Below are 26,151 nucleotides of genomic sequence, written 5' to 3' on the forward strand. Positions count from 1 at the left end.
CCAACAGAGAAATGTTTGTCAAGTTGTCAACAAGGAGATTTTTGAAGGATGTTATGGAAACTGAATAAGTAAGCCTGAGGCAAAAAGTCTAACATCATTGTGACATATATAAAAGATGACACTAGTGATCCCTTTACAGTTTTATTAATAATTATTATTTTTCGTATACCGGTTGCACTGATTCATTTTTGCTCTTTTATTTTTTAGGCAGATGGCTGGTTTTTGTAGGATTAAGCAGTGAGGAAAAACAGCAAACTAAAAATGCTACTTCAAATATAGCAACAGTCACTACATAAGGCTTAAATCAATATATTGCAAGTAATTTCTATGAATTTTGAACAATACAATGTAGTGTATGTGGAAAGATCTTGCCTAATAAGTTTCATTCTACTCCTCAAAGTTACTGAAGTCAGTCAACTATTAATAACAGAATTGTTTTTATAGAAAGATTCCATCTTCTTTACTGTTAGATGTTATACGTGTCTTGTACTAGGATAAAATAATGAGCATTGTGCATCGCACCTTCTGATAATCTCATACTTCTATAAATACTAAGATAAATAATCACTCTTTTAAATTTAGAGAGAGTTGGTTTTAGGCTAACAATTTTTTTTCTTCTTTCCAAGACAGAGTCTTATTCTGACGCCTATGCTGGAGTGCAGCAGTGCAATCTCAGCTCACTGCAACCTCTGCTTCCCAGGTTCAACCAATTCTTGTGCCTTCACCTCCCGAGTGGCTGGGATTACAGGCATGTGCCACCACACCCAACTAATTTTTGTATTTTTAGTAGAGACAGGGTTTTGCCATGTTGGCCAAGCTGGTCTCGAACTTCTGACTTTGAGTGATCTGTCCGCCTTGGCCTCCCACAGTGCTGAGATTACAGGCTTGAACCACCATGCCCAGCCTCTAACAACTAATTTTAATAAGTATTACTGGACTAGTCTACAGGTTCACTGAAAGAAAGGCTACCTGTGAGGATGCGTTTAATTAGCTTTTGCCCTTATATCTCAATTCTGTCTTCATTACAGCTCTGTGCTCAGTTTCTCCATCTATGAAATAAATACAGCCATATCTGTCCCTGGAAGAACTATGTCAAAAGATTTTAAAGAGACAGGCATCATTTGAAGGCAGTATTATTTTAAAGTATCAATATTACATTTCTTGCAAAGAGCTGCTGACAGTTAGTTCTTGCCTTTTTTTTTTTTTTTTTTTTTTTGCTCTTTTAATGAGTTTATTCTGTCAATAGGGAAAATATCAACTTTAAAATCTAAACATATGCCACAAAATTTTGGGACAAATTTTGAGTTGAAGACGGCAGTACAAACTCATGTTTAGCTTTGTACACACATAAATAATTATAGATGTGTACATATGCATGGATTAATATACATACATATTTCTCAACTCTGCTACAAACAGTGACATCCCAGTAGCAACAAGCACATCTAATGCCCAGATCTTGGTTTCTAAGTATGATTCTCCAACAAAAGGAACCAGGGCTCTTTGGAGCAGGGGTTGATTCTAGGGATTCTAGGGTTGGGGCAGGGAATATCCAAGATGAACCTGGAGCATCTTGTAGTGCCAGAAAGTAAGAAGTGCTCAAAAATCAAAAGGATGGGCACATCAAAGGGACATAGTAGCCAACCTGGCAGAACTCCTAATAGCCAAGCTGGACAACTTAAGCAACAAAATAAATACTGTGTTACCCAAAATACAAAATATACATGAGTCCATACTGATGTAAACAAATTAGGGTGGGAGGGAGAAACAAATTTTCCATATAGAAAAATTCCAAATACTACATATGGATATTCCCACTTCCAGGGGGTTGAATGTAATCTTTCCCACCCACCACCTCCCATGACTGGACTTAGTGACTGTTTTCCAAAGAACAGAAGTATGGAAAGGGAAAATAACAGTAATTTTCAGCAGCAAAAAACCAACACACACTACCTTAACCAAGTGTCCAAAGTTAATACACCATCAAGCTGATAGCATGTAACTCCTGACATGATGCAGTGAGAAGGACCTTCACCTCTGGTATTCTTCCTAAAAATCTATAACCCCACTCTAACCATGAGGAAAACATCAGACAAACCCAAATTGAGGAATATTCTACAAAACACCTGACCAGTACTCCTCAAAACTGTCAAGGTTATGAAAAAGAAAGACTGTGGAACTATCACAGACCAGAGGCTAATTAGGCATGACGACTAATTCAGTGTGGTATCCTAGATTGGATCCTGGAAAAGAAAAATGACATTAATTAAAAAACTAGTACAATCTGAAAAATAAAGTCAAAGTTCCGTTAATAGTAATTGCCATTGCTGGTTACTTAGCTTCTGACAAATGCTTCATGGTTAAATAAAAGGTTAACACTGGGGGAACTGGGTGAGTGGTCACAGAAGCTCTCCATGTATCTTTGCAACTTTTCTGTAAATCTAAAATTATCCCAAGTTTTTTTTTTTAATCTGAACATAAAAAACTGTTTCTACTGATTTTTGTATAATTTGTGATCACGAATTATATTTTATAACGATATTGAGTTTGTCCTTTTGAGAAAGCCAATGCTGCTAACAAAATCCATGAATTCATTGTAAGTGTAAAGTTACCTGGACAAATATTTCAATAGTAAATATTGATAAACCATTTTTTTTTTAGAGTCTTGCTCTGTTGCCCAGGCTGCAGTGCAGTGGCACAATCTCAGCTCACTGCAACCTCCACCTCCTGGGTTCAAGTGATTCTCGTACCTCAGCTTCCTGAGTAGCTGAGACTATAAGCATGCGCCACCACGCCCGGCAAATTTTTGTATTTTTAGTAGAGACGCTGTTTCACCATGTTGGCCAGCTGGTCTCAAACTCCTGACCTCAAGTGATCCAACCGCCTCAGCCTCCCAAAGTGCTGGGATTATAGGTGTGAGCCACTGTGCCCAGCCGATAAGCATTAATTATTAATAATGGCTTACAAAACTGTACCTTTTATAAAGGTTTGAAATAAAGAATCAATTGAGGGTCCCAAACATTTAAGTGGAAACCCAGTTTGCTCACTTAGCCACAAGGCATACATGTGCCTTGTCTCACTGGAACAGCTGCCACCAATTCAAGTTGGAAGATACTAGGTTCCCGGCAATGACATATCTCCAAAGTTAGGAACATGGCCCTTTCTCCAGAACATACTTTTCCTTCTGCCCTGTTCTACCTGTAATGACTTACAAATAACCGCCTCTCCCTATGCTGTCCTTCTCTGACTTTGAAAGTCAGTTCATCTTAATAACTTTGGCCATGGGTCACCCAAAGGATATATATGGCTTGAGGTCCCAGGCTAGGGAAAGGTTAACAACCAGTAGTCAGCAAAGACCGGTCTAGGAACATAACTGAGCATTCCAAGAGATTGAAAAGTTTTCAACATTCATAGACATCTTCAGAAGCTGTTGAAGTTTTCTTGGATTTGCTCTAAACATATGGTAATAATTTTCAATGTAAATAAGAGATCTATAAAAGGCATTTATATCTTGCCTTTTCCATCCTTTTGGCTCTAATTAAAGGCTTTTTGAAAAGCAGTATCAAGCACAAATTTTAGTAAGACCACAGTTAGTAAAAGGTTACAGTCTTTAAAAAATCTACAATAAGGAACAAGTGCTGGGAAATAAATAACAAAGCATAACAGCAAATAGTGCCTTGATATATTAGGTTAAATATCTTTTCATTTATCTCATTAAATCCATCTTTTCTCTAACTTGGCAAAGGTTATAGCAAAAGATGACATTTGTCATGTGAGTAGCTCATAAAATGGGAGTGGCTATGCTTCTGAATCGCATTCACATCACCTTCTAGGCATATTACATAACACTTAGCTATCCTGGGGTTGCTCCCTACGAGGTTATCAGCTGATGGTTCCAATTTTACAACTGGAAAAATGGAAACCTTGTCCTTGTAAGTAGTCCTAATAGAAATGTGACTTACTCATATGCTCAACGGGCTACAGAGAAACAACATATTATGTTGTACTTTAATTACATATTATGTGTAATTAAAATAGAAAAAAAAAGTCCGTTCCTTCTAGGCATAAATGTGTATTTAAAATTTCATAGTAAACAAATACTTGTAAGTGATAATTTCCCCATTTTCCAAATAAGATAATGTTGAACAGACATTATGATGAATTTTATATTTGATCTCTTTTTTTGGTAAATGTGGTTGTGAAAATTGAGTTATATATTCCTCTTTTCAAAATTCTCCGCTAAACAAGCACTTGTTTTTGATATTGGTCAAGACATTTGGCATACTAAGTAAGGGAGCAATGCTGGGGAAGATACCTGAGAAGACAAGCGTGCCCTCCCCTCACTATCTCCCTCACTTTTTTTGCTTTGAGGTTTTAACATCAAGATATAAATTATTTTAAGGTCTCAAAATAATCCTTTCACAAAAATAAGACAGTTTTATGTTGTAAAAACATTAGTTATTTGTCAAAGGTATGTTCTTCCATCTTCATCTGTCACTAGCTGTCGGCATCTCCTTTAAAGATCAGTTTTTTCTTCATAATGACACCTGCATGCGGCTCGTTGGCTGTCCAGATATGGTTTACAACCTAAATGTATAACACTGTCAAACAAGAGCTCCACTGTTGTTTCACATGCTGCAAAACAAGAAAATGGGATTACTGTTGGGCAACTGCATTGCTCTTTTCACCTATGTTACACATTACAGCACAGCAACAAGCATATCCCTCGTGAGCACTGAAATGTATGCTAGATGAAATCACCAAACTCTCACAACCTGTAGCATATTTACATACACACATATATATCTACAGATTTCCAGTTTTAGTCTCATGCATCTTATTTTTTGTTTGCATTCAACTGTTTAACCCAATTTTTTTTTTTTTTTTTTTTTGAGACAGGGTCTCACTCTGACACCCAGAGTGGAGTGTCATGGTGCAGTCATAGCTTACTGCAGTCTCCACATCCTGGGCTAAAGTAATCCTTCCACCTCAGCCTCCTGAGTAGCTGGCATTACCATGGCCAGCTCATTTTTAATTTAAATTTTTTAAATTTAATTTTTAATTTTAAACAGACACACAACACCACACCCAGCTATTTTTGTTTGTTTGTTTGTTTGTTTGTTTGTTTTTAGTAGATATGAGGTCTCACTATGTTGCCCAGGCTGGTCTCAAACTCCTGGACTCAGGCAGTCCTCCTGACTTGTCTTCCCAAAGTGCTGGGATTACAGGCGTGGGCCACCATGCCTGGCCCAATTGTTTAAACTAGACAAATAAAAGTCTTTTAAAATAGCACTGATTAATCAGTGTTTTAACTTTCTTTTTATTTGAAAAACATAATCACTAACAGAGTTGTCTGATAATACTCTTAAATTTGCATTTTAAGAAAAAATGTTTTATGTGCGGAAGAAACAAAGTTTAAAAATTGAAATCTCAAAACATTTCATTATGGCCAATGGCTTCTGAGGACTGATCATACATCAGTTAAGAGGCTTAAAGTAAACGGAATCCAATCTCTTTGACCAATGTCCTAATTTGACTTGGGGATATGGGAGCATATAAATCAAAAGTATTTTTCCCCAGTCAGGTAGGTTTATTTTATTTATTTATTTATTTATTTATTTATTTTATTTATTTTTTTGAGACAAGGTCTCACCTCACTCTGTCACCCAGGCTGGAGTGCAGTGGCATGATCTTGGTTCACTGCAACCTCTGCCTCCTGGGTTCAAGTGATTCTTCCACCTCAGCCTTCTGAGTAACTGGGACTATAGGCGCCTGGCTAATTTTTGTATTTTTTGTTAGAGATGGGGTTTCACCATGTTGGCCAGGCTGCTCTCAAACTCCTGGGCTCAAGTGGTCCACCAGCCAAGGCCTCCCAAAGTGCTGGGATTACAGGCGTGAGCCACCGCACCCGGCCCCAGTTAGGTTTTTAAATTTTTTGAAGACTATGAAAAGGTAATTTATTTACTTTTCTTATTCTAAGAAACCTGAAACATCCAGGTGAGATTATCTTAACATGTTACACTTACAGAGATATAGCACAGAGTGGCTTTTAGTTATCCAAATACTTTTCGTTTCAAAATATTCATGTTAAGGAAGAAACTTGTCATTACAAAATCTTAACATTTTCAAAGTTCTCCAAAAGACTTTGCCATTAAGAAACAACCAACCACAGAAGTGGAGAGGCTATGACTATTAAATAGGAGGTTACAAGATGATTGGTTTCACATTCTTCTTAAATCAGAAAACAGGAAATAAATCTATCTATGCTTCAGGTTTACAGCTAGTTTACCTTAGCCAAAAGCTGCAAAGGGATACAGAGGCTGTGAATTCAAGATTACCTGCAGCAGAGATTTCTTCCTTGACATGAATTATTAGGATATTAGAATCAGGGCTATAATATGAGACTATTTGGAGAATACTGTATAATAGACAGAACACAGATTTTAAAGTCAGGCTAAATGCTCACTTGGGGCAAGTTACTGTTTTCTGAACCATCGTTTCCTTCCTTGAAAAATGGGGATAACACTACCTACCTCTTTAGGTTTTTGTTGGCATCAAATGAAAACATGAATAAAATATCTAGCACAGTATCTTATGAAAGTGCTTAAAATGTTATTTTCCTTTCCTGCCTTGCCTCTTCTGATTTCAGTGTATGATATGTTCTTTGGCTTGACAGTAGAGAAATCTTATAACTACCAGTATTTGAATGGTGATTTATTTGTATTTCCACAAATACTTCACTTCATCCTTATGACAACTCTGTGAGGTGAGTATCATCATTCTTTTAAAAATGACACCAAAGGGCCCTTTCCCTTTGCTAGTTTGGCTTTCTATCTCTTCACCATAATACCTCATGGCAGTGAGTACAACTATATGCTGAGTCCCGTGAGTCCTCCTAGTAAATCACTGAACCTGGGGGTCATCTGGGGACCTTCCCAACAGAAACCCATAAGACAAGTCTTCTAGAAATTCCTACTCCAAATCCAGTGTGCTATACTCTTAAATTCACTGGTGGTATGGTCTGAATGTTTGTGTCTTTCCAGAATTTATGTTGAAATCCTAACCTCCAAAGTGATGAAATCAGAAGGTGAGGCCTTTGGAGGTGTCTAAGTTCCAAAAGATGGTAAATGTGATTAGTGCTCTTATAAAAGAGGCCCCAGAGAGCTATCTAGTCCTCTCCACTAAGTGAAGACACAGTTAGAAGGCATCTGCTACGAACTAGAAAATGAGTCCTTATCAGACACCAAATCTGCTAGTGCCTTGATCTTGGACTTCCCAGCCTCCAGAACTGTAGGAAATAACTTTCTGTTGTCTATAAGTCACCCAGTCTATGGTAGCAGTCCAGATGGACTAAGACAACTGGAATCAGAGTTTCAAACTTTAGCTACTTTAGGTTCTTACATGATGACTGGAGATATATTTTAGGGCACAAGGTAGATGAATTCTTCTCTCTCTCAGCCTTAGACACCCCTACTCTCCCAAGGTTTCCTAATGCTTTTTGCTTCTGTGACTATAAATCATTTTAGATTATAAAATCATCAGCTCCTCACCTCAGAAAATTGAAGTCTGTGTCACAATAGATAATATATGTGAAAGATTTCTATTGGTAAATCCTATACTAAAACATAGAGCATTTGATACAACTTTAAAAAGTACACTCATCCCCAAGCCACCAGATCATCCTTACCCTGAACATGCTGAGTTAGTCCTAGTGTTTTCTGTACATCTCGGCAGATCTTGGAGAGGCAATACTGGAATTCTTCATCACAGTCATTCTTGCTTTTGCCACAGGTCTCATAGCACCTGTCGTGTTGGTTGCAACACTTTGTCAGGGAAGGGATACCAATGTTAAGCTGCAAAAGGCATTTGGATGGATTACTGTCAATGAAATGCAAAACTCCTCTGAAGTACTGCATTCAAATAGACTAAATAGGTATAAATGATAATGACTGCTGTATAGATAGTTCCAAAATCCATTTCTGCCTACAAATATTTTCTGTGTTATAAATCTCCCCATTACACTTACCCATACCCACCCATGTTACTCTCTCAGCTATGCCTCACTGCTCCCTATTCTGCAGCGTTAGAACACTCACAGTTACCTGTCAGTAACAAAATTTCCATTTGTCCAAAACACAAAACATAAGTTTTAAAAAAAGAAAGATGAGGCTAAGTCCATTAAAGATTCTCCAGGGGCTAGGTAAGTATGATTTTTGGATACTCAAAGTGTTTGTGGCCTCTCCTTCCAAATAAAATTTACTTTATGTGAAATATCACAGAAAACTTTCCTACAACTCAAATTTTTTTGTTTTTTAATCTTTAAATATTTCTCCATTCCCCAAAGATACTATTACTCTGAATCTATAACTTCAATTATTTTAAATAACTTTATACACAAAATCCTTGTGTCTAGGAATCATTCTCATAAACATTTTTTTCCCATAATACTTGGCTTAGATCCAGTCACTCCTACAACAACCACACAGCTATCCCACTTAGCCTTGTTTTAATGTCGAAAACATGATTTATCTATACTTTTTCCCTCTAAGTAGTAGCACTTCTGTACTCCAAACTTTTCAACTATGTATGTGATATTGGGAAATATCATTTAAATAGTACGAACATCTATAAGATTCAAAAATAAAACAATTTTACTTCATTTACTTTTGTTAGTTTTGCCAAAAAGAATCTAATAAACCTGATCACTCTTACACCCAGCTAAATTATTTGTGAATCTAAGAACATGCTGATAGTCTTATATCACCAAAAGTATTACATGATTTACCAGTTACAAAACTTATCAAATAAAAGACAATATTTACATGAACACCAAACAGTGGAGAGCCACATCCATTCGGTGGGGAGGGTTTATAACCATAACGTGGGAAAGGCTTAGATCCTATAAAATATAATGGTATCATAATTAATTTTCAAATATGATAAAAGTAAAATACATACTCAAAAAGGTCAATATGCTACATTAGCCTTAGAAATATGTAATATTTACTTGGATGCTAACATAAGTGCATATGTCTTTATTCTGATGAGCATTAAGAATGCTAATTAGACTTTTTATTTCTCCTGTGGTGAGGAATATATACAAATGTGCACATATATACATATACACATATATAGCAACTCATAAAATGTAATTATTTGTAAGCCTATGTCATACGAAACATACAAAAGCTTATCCTGGACTTCTGGAGATTTCAGAGGTCACTTGCCAGATAGGGTTCATATGTATGAAAGATAAATCCACCCTGTTTTCCTGTACATTCTAACACTTTGTTTTTTAGGGCTAAGACAGTATCTTCCCAACTCCCACAAATGCTTCATTGCATACAAACCTCAATAACCATTAACCAACCAGTTTACTTGGGCAAAGCCTAAGGCTAAGGAAGACAAGGTCATCTGATGATCATTCAATAACCTTAGTACTACAAGACATTACAAGACCACGCATTCTGCCTGCTGCCCTCCCACCGAGTCAACCATTCCACAAATATACTTCTTTGCCATCTAAGGAAAAGGTTAGGAGGGATACTTGATGAACTACGGTACTCCAGAAGTACTGTAGTTCTAATGAAGTACTTCTAAAGAACAGAAGACTTGGAAGGCTAATGTTCCCCAGTAGCATCAAGGGTTCAGTAACAAGGAAAAAGATGACATTATCATAGCAATCTTAAATTTTGGAGGGTACTTCAGAAACACCTCACCTCATTTAATACAGGTTTACCTCAGAGATATTGCAGGTTCAGTCCCAGATCATCACAATAAAGCCAATATAACAATGAAGTGAGTCACATAAATTTTTTTGGTTTTCCAGTGCATATAAAAGTTTTGTTTACACTATGCTGTAGTCTATTAAGTGCTCAATAACACTGTCTAAAAAAGCCAATGTACAGATCTTAATTTAAAAATACTTTATTGCTAAAAAATGCTGACACAGATACTAAGTGAGCACATGCTGTGGGAAATATGGCACCGATAGACTTGCTCAATGCAGGGTCGCCGCTAACCTTCGATTTGTTAAAAAGCAAACAAGCAAAAAAAAACCCCACAATTATTTGTGAAGTGCATTAAAGCAAAACACATTAAAATGAAGTATGCTTGTATAGAAATCACTTCAACCTACCAGTCACCTACTGGCTCTTTGAATGTTTCCCACAACCCTCCTACATCAAGAAATAACCTATTCTACTGTGAAATGACATCAATTGTTAAGACATTCTTCTGCTTTCTTTTAAGTTCTACCTATAAACAATCCTCTGCCCCTTGGGGAAACAGAAAAATAAGCCAACTCCCTATTTTACACAATAATCCTTTCAAATATTTTGGGCTACAATTTATCTTGCCTTCTAAAATGAGATATTCCCAGGTATTTTACCCTAAGACATGGCAGTTTCCAAATACAACCCCACAGTTGGATACATAGGAGTGACACAAAGTATTCCGCCAATTTTCATTTAACATTTATTGGTAGATTTTATAAAGACAAGGTTACCCTCCAAAAATAAATTGAGGGTAAAAAAGCAGCTCTTTCAGTAATCAACCATCAAAATAAGGAACCCCTCAAGGTAATAACTGAAAAATGGTTTTGGCTGGGCGTGGTGGCTCACGCCTATAATCCCAGCACTTTGGGAGGTTGAGGTGCCTGAGCCCAGGTTTTTGAGACCAGCCTGGGCAACATGATGAGACTCTGTCTGTATTCAAAAAAAAAAAAAAAAAAAAAAAAAAAAAAATATATATATATATATATATATATATATATATATATATATGAATTTTAAAAAAATAAAAAAAGAAAGAGAAAAAAATAAACGGTTTCAGTGACTTGCTCAGAAGTTCCATGCTCAACTAAGGTCACCATACATAGCCTCAAGAGAGTAGTATAACCTCACGAAGATATAAAGCTATAGCCTGGGCTGGGAGCGGTGGCTCACACCTGTAATCCCAGCACTTTGGGAGGCTGAGGCAGGTGTATCACCTGAGGTCGAGAGTTCAACACCAGCCTGACCAACATGGCGAAACCCCATCTCTACTAAATATACAAAATTAGCTGGGCAATGTGGTGGCACATGCCTGTAATCCCAGCTACTTGGGAGGCTGAGGCAGGAGAATCGCTTGAACCTAGGAGGCGGAGGTTGTGGTGAGCCGAGATCGTGCCATTGCACTCCAGCCTGGGCAACAAGAGCGAAACTCTGTCTCAAAAAACAGTAACAACAAAAACAAAACCTACAGCCTGCTCTAAAGGAAAAATGTATACAAAAAGGAATGGTTAAGATGAGTCTAGAAAAGGGAAGGCCAATGATAGCACTTCGTCTTGTTTCTCCAGCCCTGTCCATAAGGAAGGGTTGTTTCTGGACCCTTGGAAGATGAGGGTAGATGACTCAGGCTATCACAGATGAGTCACCATGATCCTTCAACTCTCATCGCCTACTTTTAGTCCTTCATTCTTTTTTTTTTTTTTTTTGAGATGGAGTCTCGCTTTGCCTCCCAGCAAGCTGGAGTGCAATGGCGCGATCTTGGCTCATCGCAACCTCTGCCTCCTGGGTTCAAGTGAGTCTCCTGCCTCAGCTTCCCCAGTAGCTGGAATTACAGGAGTGTGCCACCAGGCCTGGCTAATTTTTGTATTTTTAGTAGAGACGGGGCTTCACCAGGTTGGCCAGGCTCGTCTCAAACTCCTGACCTCGTGATCCACCCGCCTCGGCCTCCCAAAGTGTTGGGATTACAGGCATGAGCCACCATGCCCGGCCCAGTCCTTCATTCCTAAGAAAACAGTTTATGACTTGGCTTCCTACTTACAAGGGCCTACAGAGGAAGGTCCAGTGGGCATCTCAAACTTAAGCTGTCCCTCCTGACATTCACCTCAAATTTGCTCCATTCACAGTTTGCTGTTTTCAGTTAACAGTAATTCTGTCCTTCCAGATGCTCAGAGCAAAAATGTCAGACATTTTTGCTTATGTTCTTACGTTCTTATACCCCACATTCAATCCAACAGTATATCCTGTTGACTCTACCTTCAAAATATTCAGAATCTAATCACTTCTTACCACCTCCACTACTACCAATCCTGCTCCAAGCCACAATGGATTATTGCTATAAACTCCTAACTATTTGCCCTACTTTGGTTCCCCTGCTCCACACCAACCCCCATAATCCAGTCTCAACACCGAGCACAAATGATCGTATTAAAATATGTTAGATCAAGTCTTTTTCTGCTCAGAGACGCTTTAATGGCTTCTCATCTTATTCAGAACAAAAGCCAAAGTCTATAAAGCCTATGAAACCCTGTATAACCTGGTCTTCCCATGATTTCTCTGACCTCATCCTCTTCCTAGTCTCTCTTCCTTTCTTCCTCAACCTATTCCTCTTTGCTGTTCCACAGACACTGCAGGTCTGCTCCTGTCCCAGGGCCTTTGAACCTGCTCTTCCTGTATGTGGATGCTCTTTCTCCTGACACTAGTTTCTCCTTTACTGCTATGGTTTGAATGTTTGCATCACCCCAAAATTCATGTTGAAACCTAATCACCAATGTGATGGTATTAGAAGGTGGGACTATTGGAGGTGATTAGGTCATGTGGACAGATCTCTCATGAATGGAATTTGTGCCCTATAAAAGTGGCCCTAAAGAGCTGCCCTGCCCCATCCATCACCATGTGAGGACACAGCTAGAAGGTGCCATCTATGAACAAGGAAGTGGACTCTTACCAGACATTGAATCTGCCAAATGCTAGATCTTGGACTTCACAGCCTCCAGAACTGAGGAATAAATTTCCATTGTTTATAAGCCACCCAGTTTAAGGCATTTTGTTACAGCAGCCTGAACAGACTAAGACATTCACCTTCTCAGCAAGTCTTCCCTGACCATACTATTTGTAGCACATATGACCTTCTAACATACTATATCACTAATCTACCTATTTTATTATGTCTCCCCATCCGAAAATGTAAACTCCTCGAAAGCAGACATTTTTGTGTTTTGGATTCCCAATGCCTAGAACAGTGCCTGGAATAACTTTGTGATGAATTTTTACAATAAGTATGTGATGAATTAATGAACAGAAGACTTGGAAGGCTTGGAATATTCATTATAAATGGAGATTATCCGTTAAGAAACCCTGCTGTTTGCCCTAGAGTCTCTTTTGGGCTTGGTGAGCATTCATCAGCCAGCCTCCAAAGACTGATGACTTCTAGCTTGTCACATCTCTTTAAAATACAGCACCTCAGACTGAACACTGTAGGGTAAGATGGGCTTTTTAACCTTTTGTGCTGGATAAAGTACTTGTATTAAAACAGCCTAACACAGTATGTTTCAGCTGTGCCTGACTGCTAACATAGACAGTAGTAAAAAAAAAAAAATCATCAGTTCTTTCTAAAATGGACTTTTTAATACTTACTGCTAGAGGCTTAGCACTTCTGCAATTTAATTTTGAGTCTAAATATAAGATTGTATATAAGATTCAATCTTGTTAGTTTCAGTTCACCATTCTCGACTGCTGAGCAGTTTTTAAATCTAGAGTTATTCACCCAGTGTTGCCTGTTGCTCCCAGATATTCACAAACTTAAGATGCAGATATTAATCAGGACAGAGGTCCACTACAGATGAGTCCTCTCTCCAAGCAGCCGTGAAGTCATCAAATAGTAACCAGTTTTTCTCACAGGAGTATCATGAGAAACTATACATTTATCTATAGTTTTCTTTGCCCTAACACACTATAAATCTCTTCACAGAAAAGGAGGCTGGATCAGCATTTAATTCTTGGGAAGCCCATTCTAGTTCCTCAAGCTTCATCATGAAACTCTCTTTCGTCAGGGGTTTTGACAATCAACTGTTCAAAATGTTTAGAAACATATCTAGAGATACACACTAAGAAATAGGTCAAGTTGTTAATCTGAAAAAAGTACAATAAATACACCAGAGAATGTTCAAAAAGTCTGGAAACAGGAATAATAGTGTATTTACAATATATATTGTTCAGGTTAACAACTGGACTGTTTTAAATTTAGAAGTATATCATCTAAAAAAGTGTCTAGTGGTTAATGAAAAACATATTGAGTGTGTCATTTGAAAATAAAACATAATGTTTATCCTATGTTTCCAACTTTTTAGACACCTTGTACATTCTCCCTCCCTCCCATCTGCCAGTCTAGAGATTTCTGGCACCTCACCCTGTTCCATGAGAAGCAAAGATTACCACCCTCAGACAACCGATATGGGCCTATGGCTTTAAAGACATGTGTCTCAATTGTCTTATTTTGTTTGTTTGTTTTTTTCTGAGACTGAGTTTTGCTCTTGTTGCCCAGGCTGGAGTGCAATGGCATGATCTCAGCTCACTGCAACCTCTGCCTCCTGGGTTCAAGCGATTCTTCTGCCTCAGCCTCCCAAGTAGCTGGGATTACAGGCATGCGCCACCATGCCTGGCTAATCTTGTATTTTTAGTAGAGATGGAGTTTCTCCGTGTTGGTCAGGCTGGTCTTGAACTCCTGACAGGTGATCCGCCTGCCTCAGTCTCCCAAAGTGCTGGGATTACAAGCGTGAGCCATCGCGCCCGGCCTTTTTTTTTTAATCAGAAAGATACTTCCCTCAATGTACATACAACAGCAGTACTTCTATTTTTCCTTCCTTTTGTATTTTATCTAAATCCATAGACTCTGATTTCAAATCTATAAAAACATTCCTGATGCTGATGATGTGTGTAATGACAGTGATACATATATATGTGTATGCATGCGTGTACATATATAGACATTTTCTCATAAGAGATAATTACCTTTGAATGGGAGAATGATCAGACACAAATGAAGTCAGAAAAACTAAAAACATGCCCACCATAGGAGAGTAAAGAGGAAGAGATAGTACAGAGAAGGACAACTGGCAAAAATGAGAATGGAGGTACAAGGAAGTAGGAGGCTGCTGTGCCAAACAGGGCTAGTGGTTATAACTGTCTGAAGAAGAAAAGTTGATAAAAATCAAGTAATAAAGAGCCAACATCTACTGTACATGAAAAACTGGATAATAACACCATGAAATAAATGCTGGTAAAAAGTTTGGCTCCCCAGTGTAAATGGCAAAAGGGGCATATGTGTATGGTTCTTTAGTTTTTTTCAAGGCAAACTCCTAATGTCATTTCTTCAGAGAGGCTTTCCCTGCTTACCCAATCTAAAATAGCACCCCCTCTCTTTCTAGCATTTATTGACCTAATTAACATTAACATTAGTCGGTTTCTATGAAGAAAGGACTTAGTCTTGCTCACCTAGAAGATATTTAGCACACAGTGGGCACCCAATAAATTACCAGATTAAAAAATGGGAAACATTCTTTGATGAAATTAAAATAATTCTTTATCCACAGCAAAAAACTGAAAACTTGGAAGTAACTAGTTTCCTGAGAAATTCTAAAGTATTTTGAAATTCTAAATTCACCTTTAAATTAAAATAGTTATTTCTGAACAAGGCAAGTTATATAGACAGTTCTTTATTAGAGGTTAAGTTGATTCAGACACCAATGTTACAAATGTATTAATATTTTAAATTTTGTTATAGTTTTATAAATGGCTAAGCATTTTAAAAATTAGCATTTCTACTGGTGCCAGTTTTTACAAATAAAGCAAAAACTCAATAATGGAAGAAACAAAATCAGAGTAACATCAAAACACCATGATGTGTTGCGGCCATTGTCCTCTAAAATTTGTAAGCGGATACAAACCAAATCCACTGTGTACAACTGCATGGAAAGACTATTCATTAATTTCCATTTTTGACTTAAGCAATAGCTCCTTCTCTTGATTGTTTATCATTTGTATGGACTGCAGAAATCTAAAGATTTTCATAGACTGAGACAAAGTTGATTATTTTCCATGTATTTTTTCTAAATTTGATGCAAATACTTCCAGATAGACCAACTGTTTTCACCTGACAGAATATGAAGCAGATGACAAGCACAAGAAGTAGTCTGCTGGGTCACACAAAGGTCTCATGGCAGAGTTTTGTAAGATTCCAACCTGCACTCCCAAACACTTGAGACTTTAAGTATTCATGATCATTAATCTCCAAAAGGTCCTTATATTACTTTATTTTTCTAGTCTGTTCACTTTTATATTTTCCTCAAATCTCCAACATCCCCATTCCCCATCTTCTCTGTCAGCTGATGACCTGGATTCCTACTTTACTGAAAAAAGCAGGCAATCAGGAGAACTTGAACATCCACCCACTTAACCAGCACCAGTGCTCATATCCTCTACCTGTGTTCCTATTAACAGGGCTATGCTATATGCTCTTGGCCAAACTCTCTAAGTATGTACTAGAAACTACCCCCTCTCACTTACCCAAGGCTATGACTCCAATAATTCTCTCCCTCGTCAGTATTTCTACTCTCCACTGAACCATTCTCAAAAGCATACAAATGTGTTATTATTTTTCCTAATGCCCGAAAACTGTTCTTTCCACGGTCTTCCCCATATCAGTTAATGGTAATTCTGTCCTTCCAGTTGTTCAGGCCAAAAACTGTGGTATCATTTTTGACTTAACTCATACCTAACTTCTAAGCCATCAGCAAATCTTTTAGGTCCTTCCTTCAAAATATATCCAAAATCCAACTACTTCTCATTACCTCTGTTGCTACCAACCTGAGCAAAATCACCCGTCTTTTGTCTGGACTCCTGCATGCGTCACCCTGCTTCCATTTTTACTCCCCCACTCCCTTGACCCCTTCTGTTCTCAGCACAACAGCCAGAGGGATCCTAGAAAACATACGTCACTGAATTAATTAATGACTTATTCATCATTCTAAAAACATTTACAAGCCAGTTTTGTGTTCTATTTTTCAAAGGAAATCGAAAAGTTTTCTTCCTTAAATCTTCCTTGCTGTCAGGGAGAAAAAAGTTGAAGAAAATAACGGATCATCAAATTTATTTCCCTAAATACTTAACTCTCAATAAGGCCTTTTTCCTACCCAAGAGAGGATGGCCAAAACTAAGGGAGCAAGTCTCCATAATGCCAGTCCCTCAGGTAAAGCAAGGACATGTGCCCTTTATTTGACCAACCTCTCCCTACCATTAACTCACTCTTTTTTTTTTTTTTTAAAGCTCTCTTGATCTCTTTCGTGCAACTAAAAATACCCCTTAATCACCATGTTTCTCCAGATTTGGGATTGTTCTGTTTGGTTCTGATTTGGTCACCTGAATTCCAAAATATAGGAAAGGTTGAATTGTTCCAGAGAGACTGCTCGAGTAACAGCAATTTTATTATTATTATTATTATTATTATTTTTGAGACAGAGTCTTGCTCTGTCACCCAGGCTGGAGGCACGGTCTCGGCTCACTGCAACCTCCACCTCCCAGGTTCAAGCTATTCTCCTACCTCAGCCTCCCAAGTAGCTGGGACTACAGGTGTGCACCACCATGCCCAGCTAATTTTTGTATTTTTAGTAGAGACGGGGTTTCACCATGTTGGCCAGGCTGGTCTCGAACTCCTGAGCTCAACTGATCCGCCCGCCTCAGCCTCCCAAAGTGCTGGGATTACAGGCATGAGCCATTACGTCCTGCCTAATTTTTTTTTTCATTGAGATCCAATTATCTATCAGTATGGTGACTTGGACTTGAAACCACATGTCCGTTAAACGTAGAGTACTTACTAAGACAAAAAATTTTTTTTCACTGAGGCATATAACATTTCTTAAATTCTCAAATTCCTTTGTGTTTTTTTGTGCCAGAGACCTTCCTCTAAACTCCAAATAGTAAATTTTGAGAAGCCTGTAGAAGATGAAAAAGATTAAAAAGAAAGATTAAGCCAGGTGTAGTGGGGGCATGGCCTATAGTCCTAGCTATTTGGGAAGCTGAGGCAGGAGAATTGCTTGAGCCCAGGAGTTGGAGGCTGCAGGGAGCAATGATCACACCACTGCCCTCTAGCCTGGGCACAGAGGGAGACCTTGCCTCAAAAATATTAACAAAAAATAAAATAAAAAGACTAAAACAGTATTTTAACAAGGCTGGTATTCATTCAACTTCAGGCATGTTTTAAATGTAAATAAACTCTAGAACCCTAGACTAATAAATTTATGAAGACGACTCCTTCCAAGTCTTCCCTATCTCTGTAAATGGCAACCGTTTCCTTCCTTTGGCTCAGGCCAAAACCTTCAGAGTCATCCTTGACTGGCCTTTCTCCTCAGGTCCATTGCACTTGCTATTCCCTCTGTCTGGAATGCTGTTTCTCCAAATAACCACATTCCCTCCCCTTACCACGTGCAGATTTCTTCTCAAATATTCTTTCATCAGTGAGGCCTTTGCTGAACAACCCATTTAGAAGAGTAAATTGCCTCCAACATGGCCCCTCGTCTGCCCTGATCAGACTCCACACTTCCCCTAATTTTACTTATTTACTAGTTTACTGCCCATCTCTCCCTCACCAGAACTCAAGCTCCACGGACAGAGATTTTTGTCTGTTTTATTAACTGCTGAATCTCAAATTAGAACAACATCTGAAGCACAGTTGGGACTCAAATATTTGTATAATGAATAGGAATGACTAAGTAAAACTGTAACATTTGCTTTAGGAAAGGCAACTATTTGATCCTTAAATTATGCACTTAATCCTCCGAACAAGTTCTACAAGAATAAAAACATCTTCATGAAGCATACGTTTAGGTGGTAACGTTTAGGCACAAATTTAAGAAGCAATGCAACATGTCTCAGCACCTGTTCAGCGCTTTAAAGTATACAAGATACAGTTCATCCTTTACTTCTATTAACATAAAACTAGAAATTATCTTGAAAATTGCAGGCAGCATGTGGCATCATAGGTTTACATGATACCAGTTCCTTTTAAGTTCACCTATACAATCAGGTTCCAACAATGAAGTCACTGGATCCCCGATTATTTTCCGCTGCCAGCATAATGAGACTCTAACCTTGGCTAATCTTATTGGAAACATGATCTCCCAACTGCTCTCTTAACATTTTCAATTTCCAAACAAAAGTCCAATATTTTTCTGACCTATTAAAATATTTAAGCACTCAAAAATGTGCTACAAAAGAACTATCTCTGCCTGAAATACTGAGTTGATTAGTACTCATACCGCCACCAAACAAATTCTCAGGTTCAAAGAGAAAGTTCAAAAAATATTAAAAGAGTAAATGAAGATAACTGTATTAACGTTAACCAACAATGAGGAGGAGGCGGGTCACTGATATCTAAGGAAAGAAGAGTTATCGGAACCCTTTCTCAACACTCGAGTACACCAAAAGTCTGTACAAAGGTCGCAAGTTATTGTCTATGGGTTTGCAGAAAAAAAACCATTTAATATCAATTATAGAGAAAGTTAATACGGCATGGTTTTTAAATTCTCAGTTTGCTTCGCATGTTCATCCAATTTACAGAAGCAAAAATGAGCTAAAACCAGTCTGTTCCACTCTATTCCCATGATTCCTACGTCAGTAAGTTCTTCGGCAACTTGGTGCAATTGAGGGGGGGAAAAGGTAATTCAGAAGCAATGCAAATGGGACGGGGGGTACACCTCTCCGTTAGAATGTGACCTCTCACATTCTAACAATAGTGGTGCGAACTTGTACCCAGCTTGCTCAATCACTAGAACGGCAAGATTCTAGCAGTGGTTAAGTTTTTCCACAGCCGAAGGACACCGTCAAGGTCTGCCTTGCATCTGTCACTCACACCTCCAGGATCTCCGTCACCCCAATCCCCCGAAAGCACGAGCCCTCGCTGGGCCCGGGTGCCCCCTCACCGTCACTGCATTTATACTGGCAGAGACCGTCCTCGCCTCCCAGGAGGTCCAAGGCGGCGTTCAGGTACGTGTCTATCTTATGAACGCCGTTCCGGATGGTCTTCAGGGTGGCTCTCCAGTCGGTGGTCTGGGCCTGCTCCTGGCACCTGACAACAGCGGCCATGAGGAGGAGCAGGAGGGTGAGCGCGGGGCGCGAGAGCAGGGCCATGCGCGCAGCGCCGGGCTCTACGGGTCCCCGAGCCGCGGCGCGGGGCGCGTCCCCACAGAGTCCCCAGGACGCGCTAGGCAGCGGCGCGGGCCCCGGACTTGGCAGCAGCCAGCTCCATATCCACGCCTCCTTCCCGGCTGGCCCTCAGGATCTCGCTGTCTTTACGTGAACCGCCTCGGGCAGGCAGCGCCGTCGCGGGGACGCGCCCGCTCACCTGGACCAGCGCGCCCGCTCACCTGGGCCAGCAACCGTCCCCTGTGCGCCTGCGCCGGAGCACGGCGCGTCAGCGGCGCACGGGAGGGGCGGGACGCGCAGGGGTGGGGCGGGGCGGGGGCGGGGTTGGGGGGGGCGGGGAACCGGGGGAGGGGCGCGCGGGGCGGGAAACGGGGGCGGGGCCTCCATGCCCACGTGGTCTCCGCGGCACCCTCCCAAGACCCTTGGTCCTGGTTCACAAGAGAACCTTAAAAAGTACCCAGGCCTGAGCCCCTTTTCTAGGGAGCCTGATTACGTTGTCCCAGGTGGCAGTGGGCGTCGGTATTTTTTAAGAAAGCTCTCCGGGCTGTTAACCGTGAAGCAAGAGTTGCAGAGCTAACCCCGGTGGCCTAACCTGACCAGTCGGGGCTCAGCACAGTAGCCCCGAGAGACAAGCTTTTCTGGGTGTGGACAACATCGGAGAAAATAACCCCTGTGCCCCCTCGCAGAGAGCGCTGCGAGAGGTCCAGCTGAGTTTCCGGCTTGAAGACGTGGTTCCATTGGCAATGTGGGCAGAGTCCGGCTGTCAGCTCGCAGAGCAGGGCTTTTCCTCCTTGCGTCCTCTCCCGGTCCTCCAGATCTGCTGTGGCCGCGGTTGGGGGAGCGGGATCTGGAAGATGCCAACCCATGCCTTGGCGGTGCCTGACTCTAATCAGGACGAGCTAAATGCTAGTTTAGACTTTCCGGAAAAAGAAAATGGGCCAACATAAAAATCATAAAATTCTCCCCTGGTAAGGAAGAAACAGTAGTGTAAACTTAAATACAGTAAAAAGTAAAATAAATCTTAAGGAAGTCATTGTTTTTCTACTCAAGGGATTTTGTAACTTGATAGTTACAGTGACGTTTGTTTCTCTGTACCTACCACCCTGCCCCCAGCATTGTGCGGGATCCATAAATAACTATTGCAGTAGTACTTTGTATCAGTTGTAAATATCTGGTTATCTTAGTATCACAGCAGTTTCCAAGAATTTTACAGTAAGATCCAGAGCAATGTTGAAAGTATTGGGCAGACCAAGCGCGGTGGTTTACGCCTGTAATCCCAGCACCTTGGGAGGCCTGGAACTCCTGAGGTCAGAAGTTCGAGACCAGCCTGGCTGACATGGTGAAACCCCATCTCTACCAAAAATACAGAAAATTAGCTGGGCGTGGTGGCGGGCACCTGTAATCCCAGCTACTCGGGAGGCGGAGGCAGGAGAATCACTTGAACCCAGGAGGTGGATGGATGTTGCAGTGAGCTGAGATTGCACCACTGCACTCCAGCTTGGGGCACAGAGCGAGACTCTAAAAAAAAAAGAAAGTGAGTAAGTATTGGGCATAGGTGTGTCCTTTCTATAAGAATTACCAATAAGTTCTAGGTTTGGCCTTTTGTGTTTGTTACAAACTAAATGAGCTTATAATAAACGTTCAGTGCACAGTTCATAAAAATTACATCCCTCTTTATTGAGTGCTTACTATGTGCCAGGCACTTCATGAATATGATCGCTCACATTCAGAACACTACTTTACAAGGATGCAGACTTTGGGCAAGTTAGAAACATAGAAAGGCATTCCTCCCTACAAACAGGGTAGCCCAACAAACGGTGTAGCTCCTGGCTGGAGACTGCCTGCACTTCACTCAGCCCCTCAACCAGGAGTCTTGGGCAGTGATTAATTCCTACCACAATGGAGAAGGGGGAAGAATGTTCCCTGGAAGGTATTATTATCTTCCTCTTTTACAATAAAAGAGTCGAGGTGAGAAGTCATGTGACAGTATCTACTCCAAACCAAGGCCTCTGTCTTCACAAAATACCACAGATATTTTTATTTTTTAATTTTTAGACAACACATTTCAATACATTTTAAAAAGGGAACTTAGAATCATTGTCTTAGCTTTCTGGAACATTGGTTTCTCAGCTCCAAAGTATGAAAGTTGGACTAGATTACCTCTGAGATACCACCACCTGAATCCTTAAACCAGGCTTGGTTCTTACAACTCCCTAGTCCAGGGACAAGACTTTCAAAAGAAAGGATAGAATGTAATAAAATAACCTAGTTCCAGCCCTCAGTTATGACCCAAAGCCTCTCCTTTCCCCCACTTTCTCTATTTATTTACTTCTTTGTGATCTCATCTAATTTCTTACACCTTAACTACAGCCTATACTCTGAGGAATCAGACGTAGTTTTCTTTGTCTGATCTCTCCTTAGGGATTAAATTCTCAAATGCCAGTTCTTCTGGCTTGATGCAGCTGTTCTCTTTCTCTCAAGCAAATCTTTCCACTGTCTTCCCCATGAGAATCACCACCATTTTTGTAGAAAACAAGACTCTAAGTTTTATTTTCACATTCTTTTCACATTTAATCATTATATATTTGTTGTTCTGCTGCAGTAATTACAAGGTTTACGTTTTCCTCTTAATTGATGCTGTTAAATACCAGGGATCTGCACTGACCACAGACTATCTGTATAATTTGTAGGGCTCAGTGCAAAATAAAAATACAGAGCCCCTTGCTCAAAAATTAAGAATTTCAAGGTGATGGCCGGGTGCGGTGGCTCACGCCTGTAATCCCAGCACTTTGGGAGGCTGAGATGGGCAGATCACGAGGTCAGGAGATCGAGACCATCCTGGCTAACACGGTGAAACCCTGTCTCTACTAAAAATACAAAAAGTTAGCTGGGCATGGTGGCGGGCACCTGTAGTCCCAGCTACTCGGGAGGCTGAGGCAGGTGAATGGCGTGAACCCGGGAGGCAGAGCTTGCAATGAGCCAAGATCGTGCCACTGCACTCCAGCCGAGGCCACAGAGCAAGACTCTGTCTCAAAAAAAAAAAAAAAAGAATTTCAAGGTGATAACAGCAGAGCATTAAAATAAGTACAGAGCCCTTTTGACTGTGGGGCCTTGTGCCACTACACAGGATGCATGCTCTGATTTACCATATCATATAAATTTTTTTTTTTTGAGTCTGGCTCTGTTGCCCAGGCTGGAGTACAGTGGCACAATCTCAGCTCACTGCAACCTCCGCCTCCCAGGTTCAAGCTATTTTCCTGCCTCAGCCTCCCGAGTAGCTGGGATTACAGGTGCCCGCCACCACACCTGACTAATTTTTTGTATTTTTAGTAGCAATGGGGTTTCACCAAGTTGGCCAGGCTGGTCTCGAACTCCTGACCTCAAGTCATTCCCCTGCCTTGGCCTCCCAAAGTGCTGGGATTACAACATGAGCCACTGTGCCCAGCTCATCTCACGTAACTTCTAGATGACCCACTTCCATCTTTTCTTCCCAAATTTTGGCATAAACTGTTTGAAAAGAGCCTTCTTTACAGGACACTTTCATCTAACCAGCAAAACCTGTTATTTTCATGACAGACATCATTAGTTGCAAATCCACAGCTGTGTTCCAGGTCTTTCCTGCTAGAGAGTGGCTAGCTTGTCTATATATACTTTGTGGTGGGCAGAAGCTGAAGATAGGAAGTCAGTTATGATACAGTAATCTAGGTATGGCATAAGTATGGCTTGGTCCAGGAAAGGAGCAGTGGAGGTGTGAAAAGTGGTCATATTCTAGATGTAACTTGATGGTAGAGCAGAAGGGATTTGCTGATGGACTGAATATGAGAGAAAAAGAGGAATCAAGGATGGCATTGAAATTTTGGCCTAAGCCACAGGATAGAGAGAGTTCTAACTGTCAGAAATGGGGAGAATTGTGGAAGGAGAGGGTTTTGCGGGAAAATTTTAAAAATAAATTTCAGTCATACCATATCCAAGAAGCTTATTCTGAGTCTGCAGTTCAGCATAAAGGTTAGAAACGCATTGGGAAGTTGTCAGAATAGAAATGGCTTTTAAAGTCATGGGGCTTAGCTGGGCGCAGTGACTCATGCTTGTAGTCCCAGCACCTAGGGAGATCAAGGCTGGCAGATCGCCTGAGTCCAGGAGTTCAAGAGCAGCCTGGGTAACATAGCAAAACCTTATCTCTATAAAAAAAATACAAAAATTAGCCAGGCATGGTGGTACATGCCTGTAGTCCCAGCTACTTGGGAAGCTGAGGTAAGAGGATCCTTTGAGTCCGGAATGCAGAGGTTGCAGAGAGCCAAGATTGCGCTATTGCACTCCAGCCTGGCAACAGAGCAAGACCCTGTCTTAAATAAATGAATAAATAAATAACATGGGACTAAATGAGATCCTCTAAAAAGTGAGTGTACACAAAGAAGCAGAGCAAGGTCTAAGTCTTAGGAGGTCAAGGAAAAAAGAACAAAGGCGCTTAAGAAGGAGCAGCCAAGTGCAGCAGAAGTGGAAAAGTGCTATATTCTGGTGTGTCAAAGAAAGACAGAACCACCCATTCTGCTGATATGAGGAAGGTGAGGGCCGGATATTGACTACTAGATTTAGTAACTTGGGGGTTATTGGTGAACTTCACAAGAGTCTCATTGAAGTACTAGGGAGAAAACACAGTTGTAGTCAGAGGAAGAAAAGAATTAGAAATGGCGATTACAGGCAGGACGCAGTGGCTCATGCCTGTAATTCTAGCACTTTGGGAGGCCAAGGCGGGCAGATCACACGGTCAGGAGTTCGAGACCAGCCTGGCCAATATGGTGAAATCCTGTCTCTACTAAAAATACAAAAAAATTACCTGGGCGTGGTGGCAGGTGCCTGTAATCCCAGCTACTCGGGAGGCTGAGGCAGGAGAATTGCTTGAACCTAGGAGGTGGAGGTTGCAGTGAGCTGAGATCGTGCCACTGCACTCCAGCCTGGGCAACAGAGCAACAGTCTGTCTAAGAAAAAAGAAAAGAAAAGAAATGCAATTACAGTGAATATCAAAATAAATTATGAAAATATAAAATATACTATATTTGTGCTTATTCTTGTCTGAATGATATATTAATAAATACCTTGGAATGGGAGATTCTGGGTGGCCAAGACTGGCTTTCTTTTCTTTTCTTTTTTCAGAGACAGAGTCTCATTCTGTCACCCAGGTGGGGGTAGCATGATCATAGCTCACTGTACCCTCGAACTCTTGGGCTTAAGCAATCCTCCTACTTCAGCCTCCTGAGTAGCTAGGAATACAGGTGTACACAACTGTGACTGGCTAATTTTTGTTATTGTTATTATAGAGATGGGGTCTCCCTGTGTTGCCCAGGCTGGTCTTGAATTCTTGGGCTCAAGTGATCCTCCTGCTTTGGCCTCCCAAAGTGCTGGAATTACAGTCATGAGCCACCGCACCCAGCCCTACACTATATTTTCTATATAGAACTTCCCAGAACAATAATCAGGATAGGCAGTCAGATCTCAGATCTCTTCTAGAAACACCAAATGGTTTCTTCTATATATATGAGCATCATGGAAAAACATGGTAGTATTGATGAGATGAGAATGCAAAATTTGTGGGGTTTAACGTACCACATTAACTTAGAATGCTTGGAAACTACAATATTACACAATGCTTTGTGTTATTTTAAATAACAAAAATCAATAAAATATTAATGATAAACAGCAATTTCTATTTTTTAGTATTTTCCAATGTCTCACTAATGGCCTCAGCAGTGTTGTGATGAAAATAAAAGCCACGTGGTGAAAACAGTTCCAGCCATAATGGTTAATTTTTGTCCAGGATGAAAATAAAAGCCACATGGTGAAGCAATTCCATCCATAATGATTAATCTATGGCTAGTGCCAATGTCGCGGGAATCAGGCGGATGAGAGAGACTTCGGGGTAAAGCAGGAGGATCTTTATTGAGTGTACTCAGACTTACATCTGGAAAACTGGGCCTAGAACAAAGACAGCACTTGACTTTTATACACACTTCAAAAAGGGAGTGGGCTAGCTTGAAGCAGGCTTACAGTTACAGTGGTGTGAAAGCAAGGATACAGAGGCAGAGCAATTAATCAAATTGTGACAGGTTCATAACTCAGGATTACACATGACCGTTGCTGTGCAACCCAGATGTCAGTTATCTAGGTTTTCCTTTAGTGCCTAGCACAGCTT

The 26,151-nt window shown here is 40.3% G+C and overlaps 2 protein-coding genes across 9 annotated transcripts in view, besides 3 other annotated features; both read right to left on the reverse strand.

Moving 5' to 3' along the window:
- On the reverse strand, positions 129 to 20,210 carry PLA2G12A (phospholipase A2 group XIIA). Its single transcript, NM_030821.5, has 4 exons — positions 19,742 to 20,210; positions 8,823 to 8,899; positions 7,688 to 7,853; positions 129 to 4,635 (listed from the first exon to the last, which is right to left on the reverse strand). Exons 1-4 carry the CDS (start codon positions 19,947 to 19,949, stop codon positions 4,517 to 4,519), a joined length of 570 nt encoding a protein of 189 aa, NP_110448.2. The 5' UTR covers positions 19,950 to 20,210; the 3' UTR covers positions 129 to 4,516.
- Positions 19,599 to 19,668: an enhancer, noted in NCBI's record as "active region_21807". NCBI's record gives its function as "activates an Ori minimal core promoter by ATAC-STARR-seq in GM12878 lymphoblastoid cells {active_cell/tissue: GM12878}" and the evidence as "EXISTENCE:reporter gene assay evidence [ECO:0000049][PMID:35858748]".
- Positions 19,999 to 20,338: a silencer, noted in NCBI's record as "silent region_15626". NCBI's record gives its function as "represses an Ori minimal core promoter by ATAC-STARR-seq in GM12878 lymphoblastoid cells {active_cell/tissue: GM12878}" and the evidence as "EXISTENCE:reporter gene assay evidence [ECO:0000049][PMID:35858748]".
- Positions 20,328 to 21,204: an enhancer, noted in NCBI's record as "H3K27ac hESC enhancer chr4:110651344-110652220 (GRCh37/hg19 assembly coordinates)". NCBI's record gives its function as "activates a minimal SCP1, AML or CMV promoter by ChIP-STARR-seq in naive and primed H9 embryonic stem cells {active_cell/tissue: H9 hESC(naive and primed)}" and the evidence as "EXISTENCE:reporter gene assay evidence [ECO:0000049][PMID:30033119]".
- The window catches only part of CFI (complement factor I), a 71,018-nt gene continuing 65,988 nt past the window's right edge, over positions 21,122 to 26,151 (reverse strand). For 4 of the 8 annotated variants that reach the window (NM_001375280.1, NM_001375279.1, NM_001440985.1 and 1 more), the window contains 2 exons: positions 24,799 to 24,936; positions 21,122 to 21,482 (listed from right to left, as the gene is read on the reverse strand). In NM_001375280.1, coding sequence (NP_001362209.1) covers positions 21,373 to 21,482; positions 24,799 to 24,936 — 248 coding nt within the window. In that variant the 3' untranslated portion in view covers positions 21,122 to 21,372. Of the gene's footprint in view, positions 21,483 to 24,798; positions 24,941 to 26,151 lie in introns of those variants that run through there. The other 4 variants (NM_001375282.1, NM_001375281.1, NM_001440988.1 and 1 more) reach the window with 2 other exon arrangements.

This window comes from Homo sapiens, chromosome 4 (genome assembly GCF_000001405.40).
Source record: "Homo sapiens chromosome 4, GRCh38.p14 Primary Assembly".
NCBI lineage: Eukaryota > Metazoa > Chordata > Mammalia > Primates > Hominidae > Homo > Homo sapiens.

Excerpts from the sequence above, each read along its gene's own strand:
- PLA2G12A (NM_030821.5), bottom strand. The coding sequence starts at position 19,949 with ATGGCCCTGCTCTCGCGCCCCGCGCTCACCCTCCTGCTCCTCCTCATG. Across the intron at positions 8,900-19,741 it reads CCAGTATAAATGCAGTGACG|GATCTAAGCCTTTCCCACGT; the intron begins GTGAGGGGGCAC and ends TATATTTTATAG. Across the intron at positions 4,636-7,687 it reads ACTAACTCAGCATGTTCAGG|CATGTGAAACAACAGTGGAG; the intron begins GTAAGGATGATC and ends CTTGTTTTGCAG.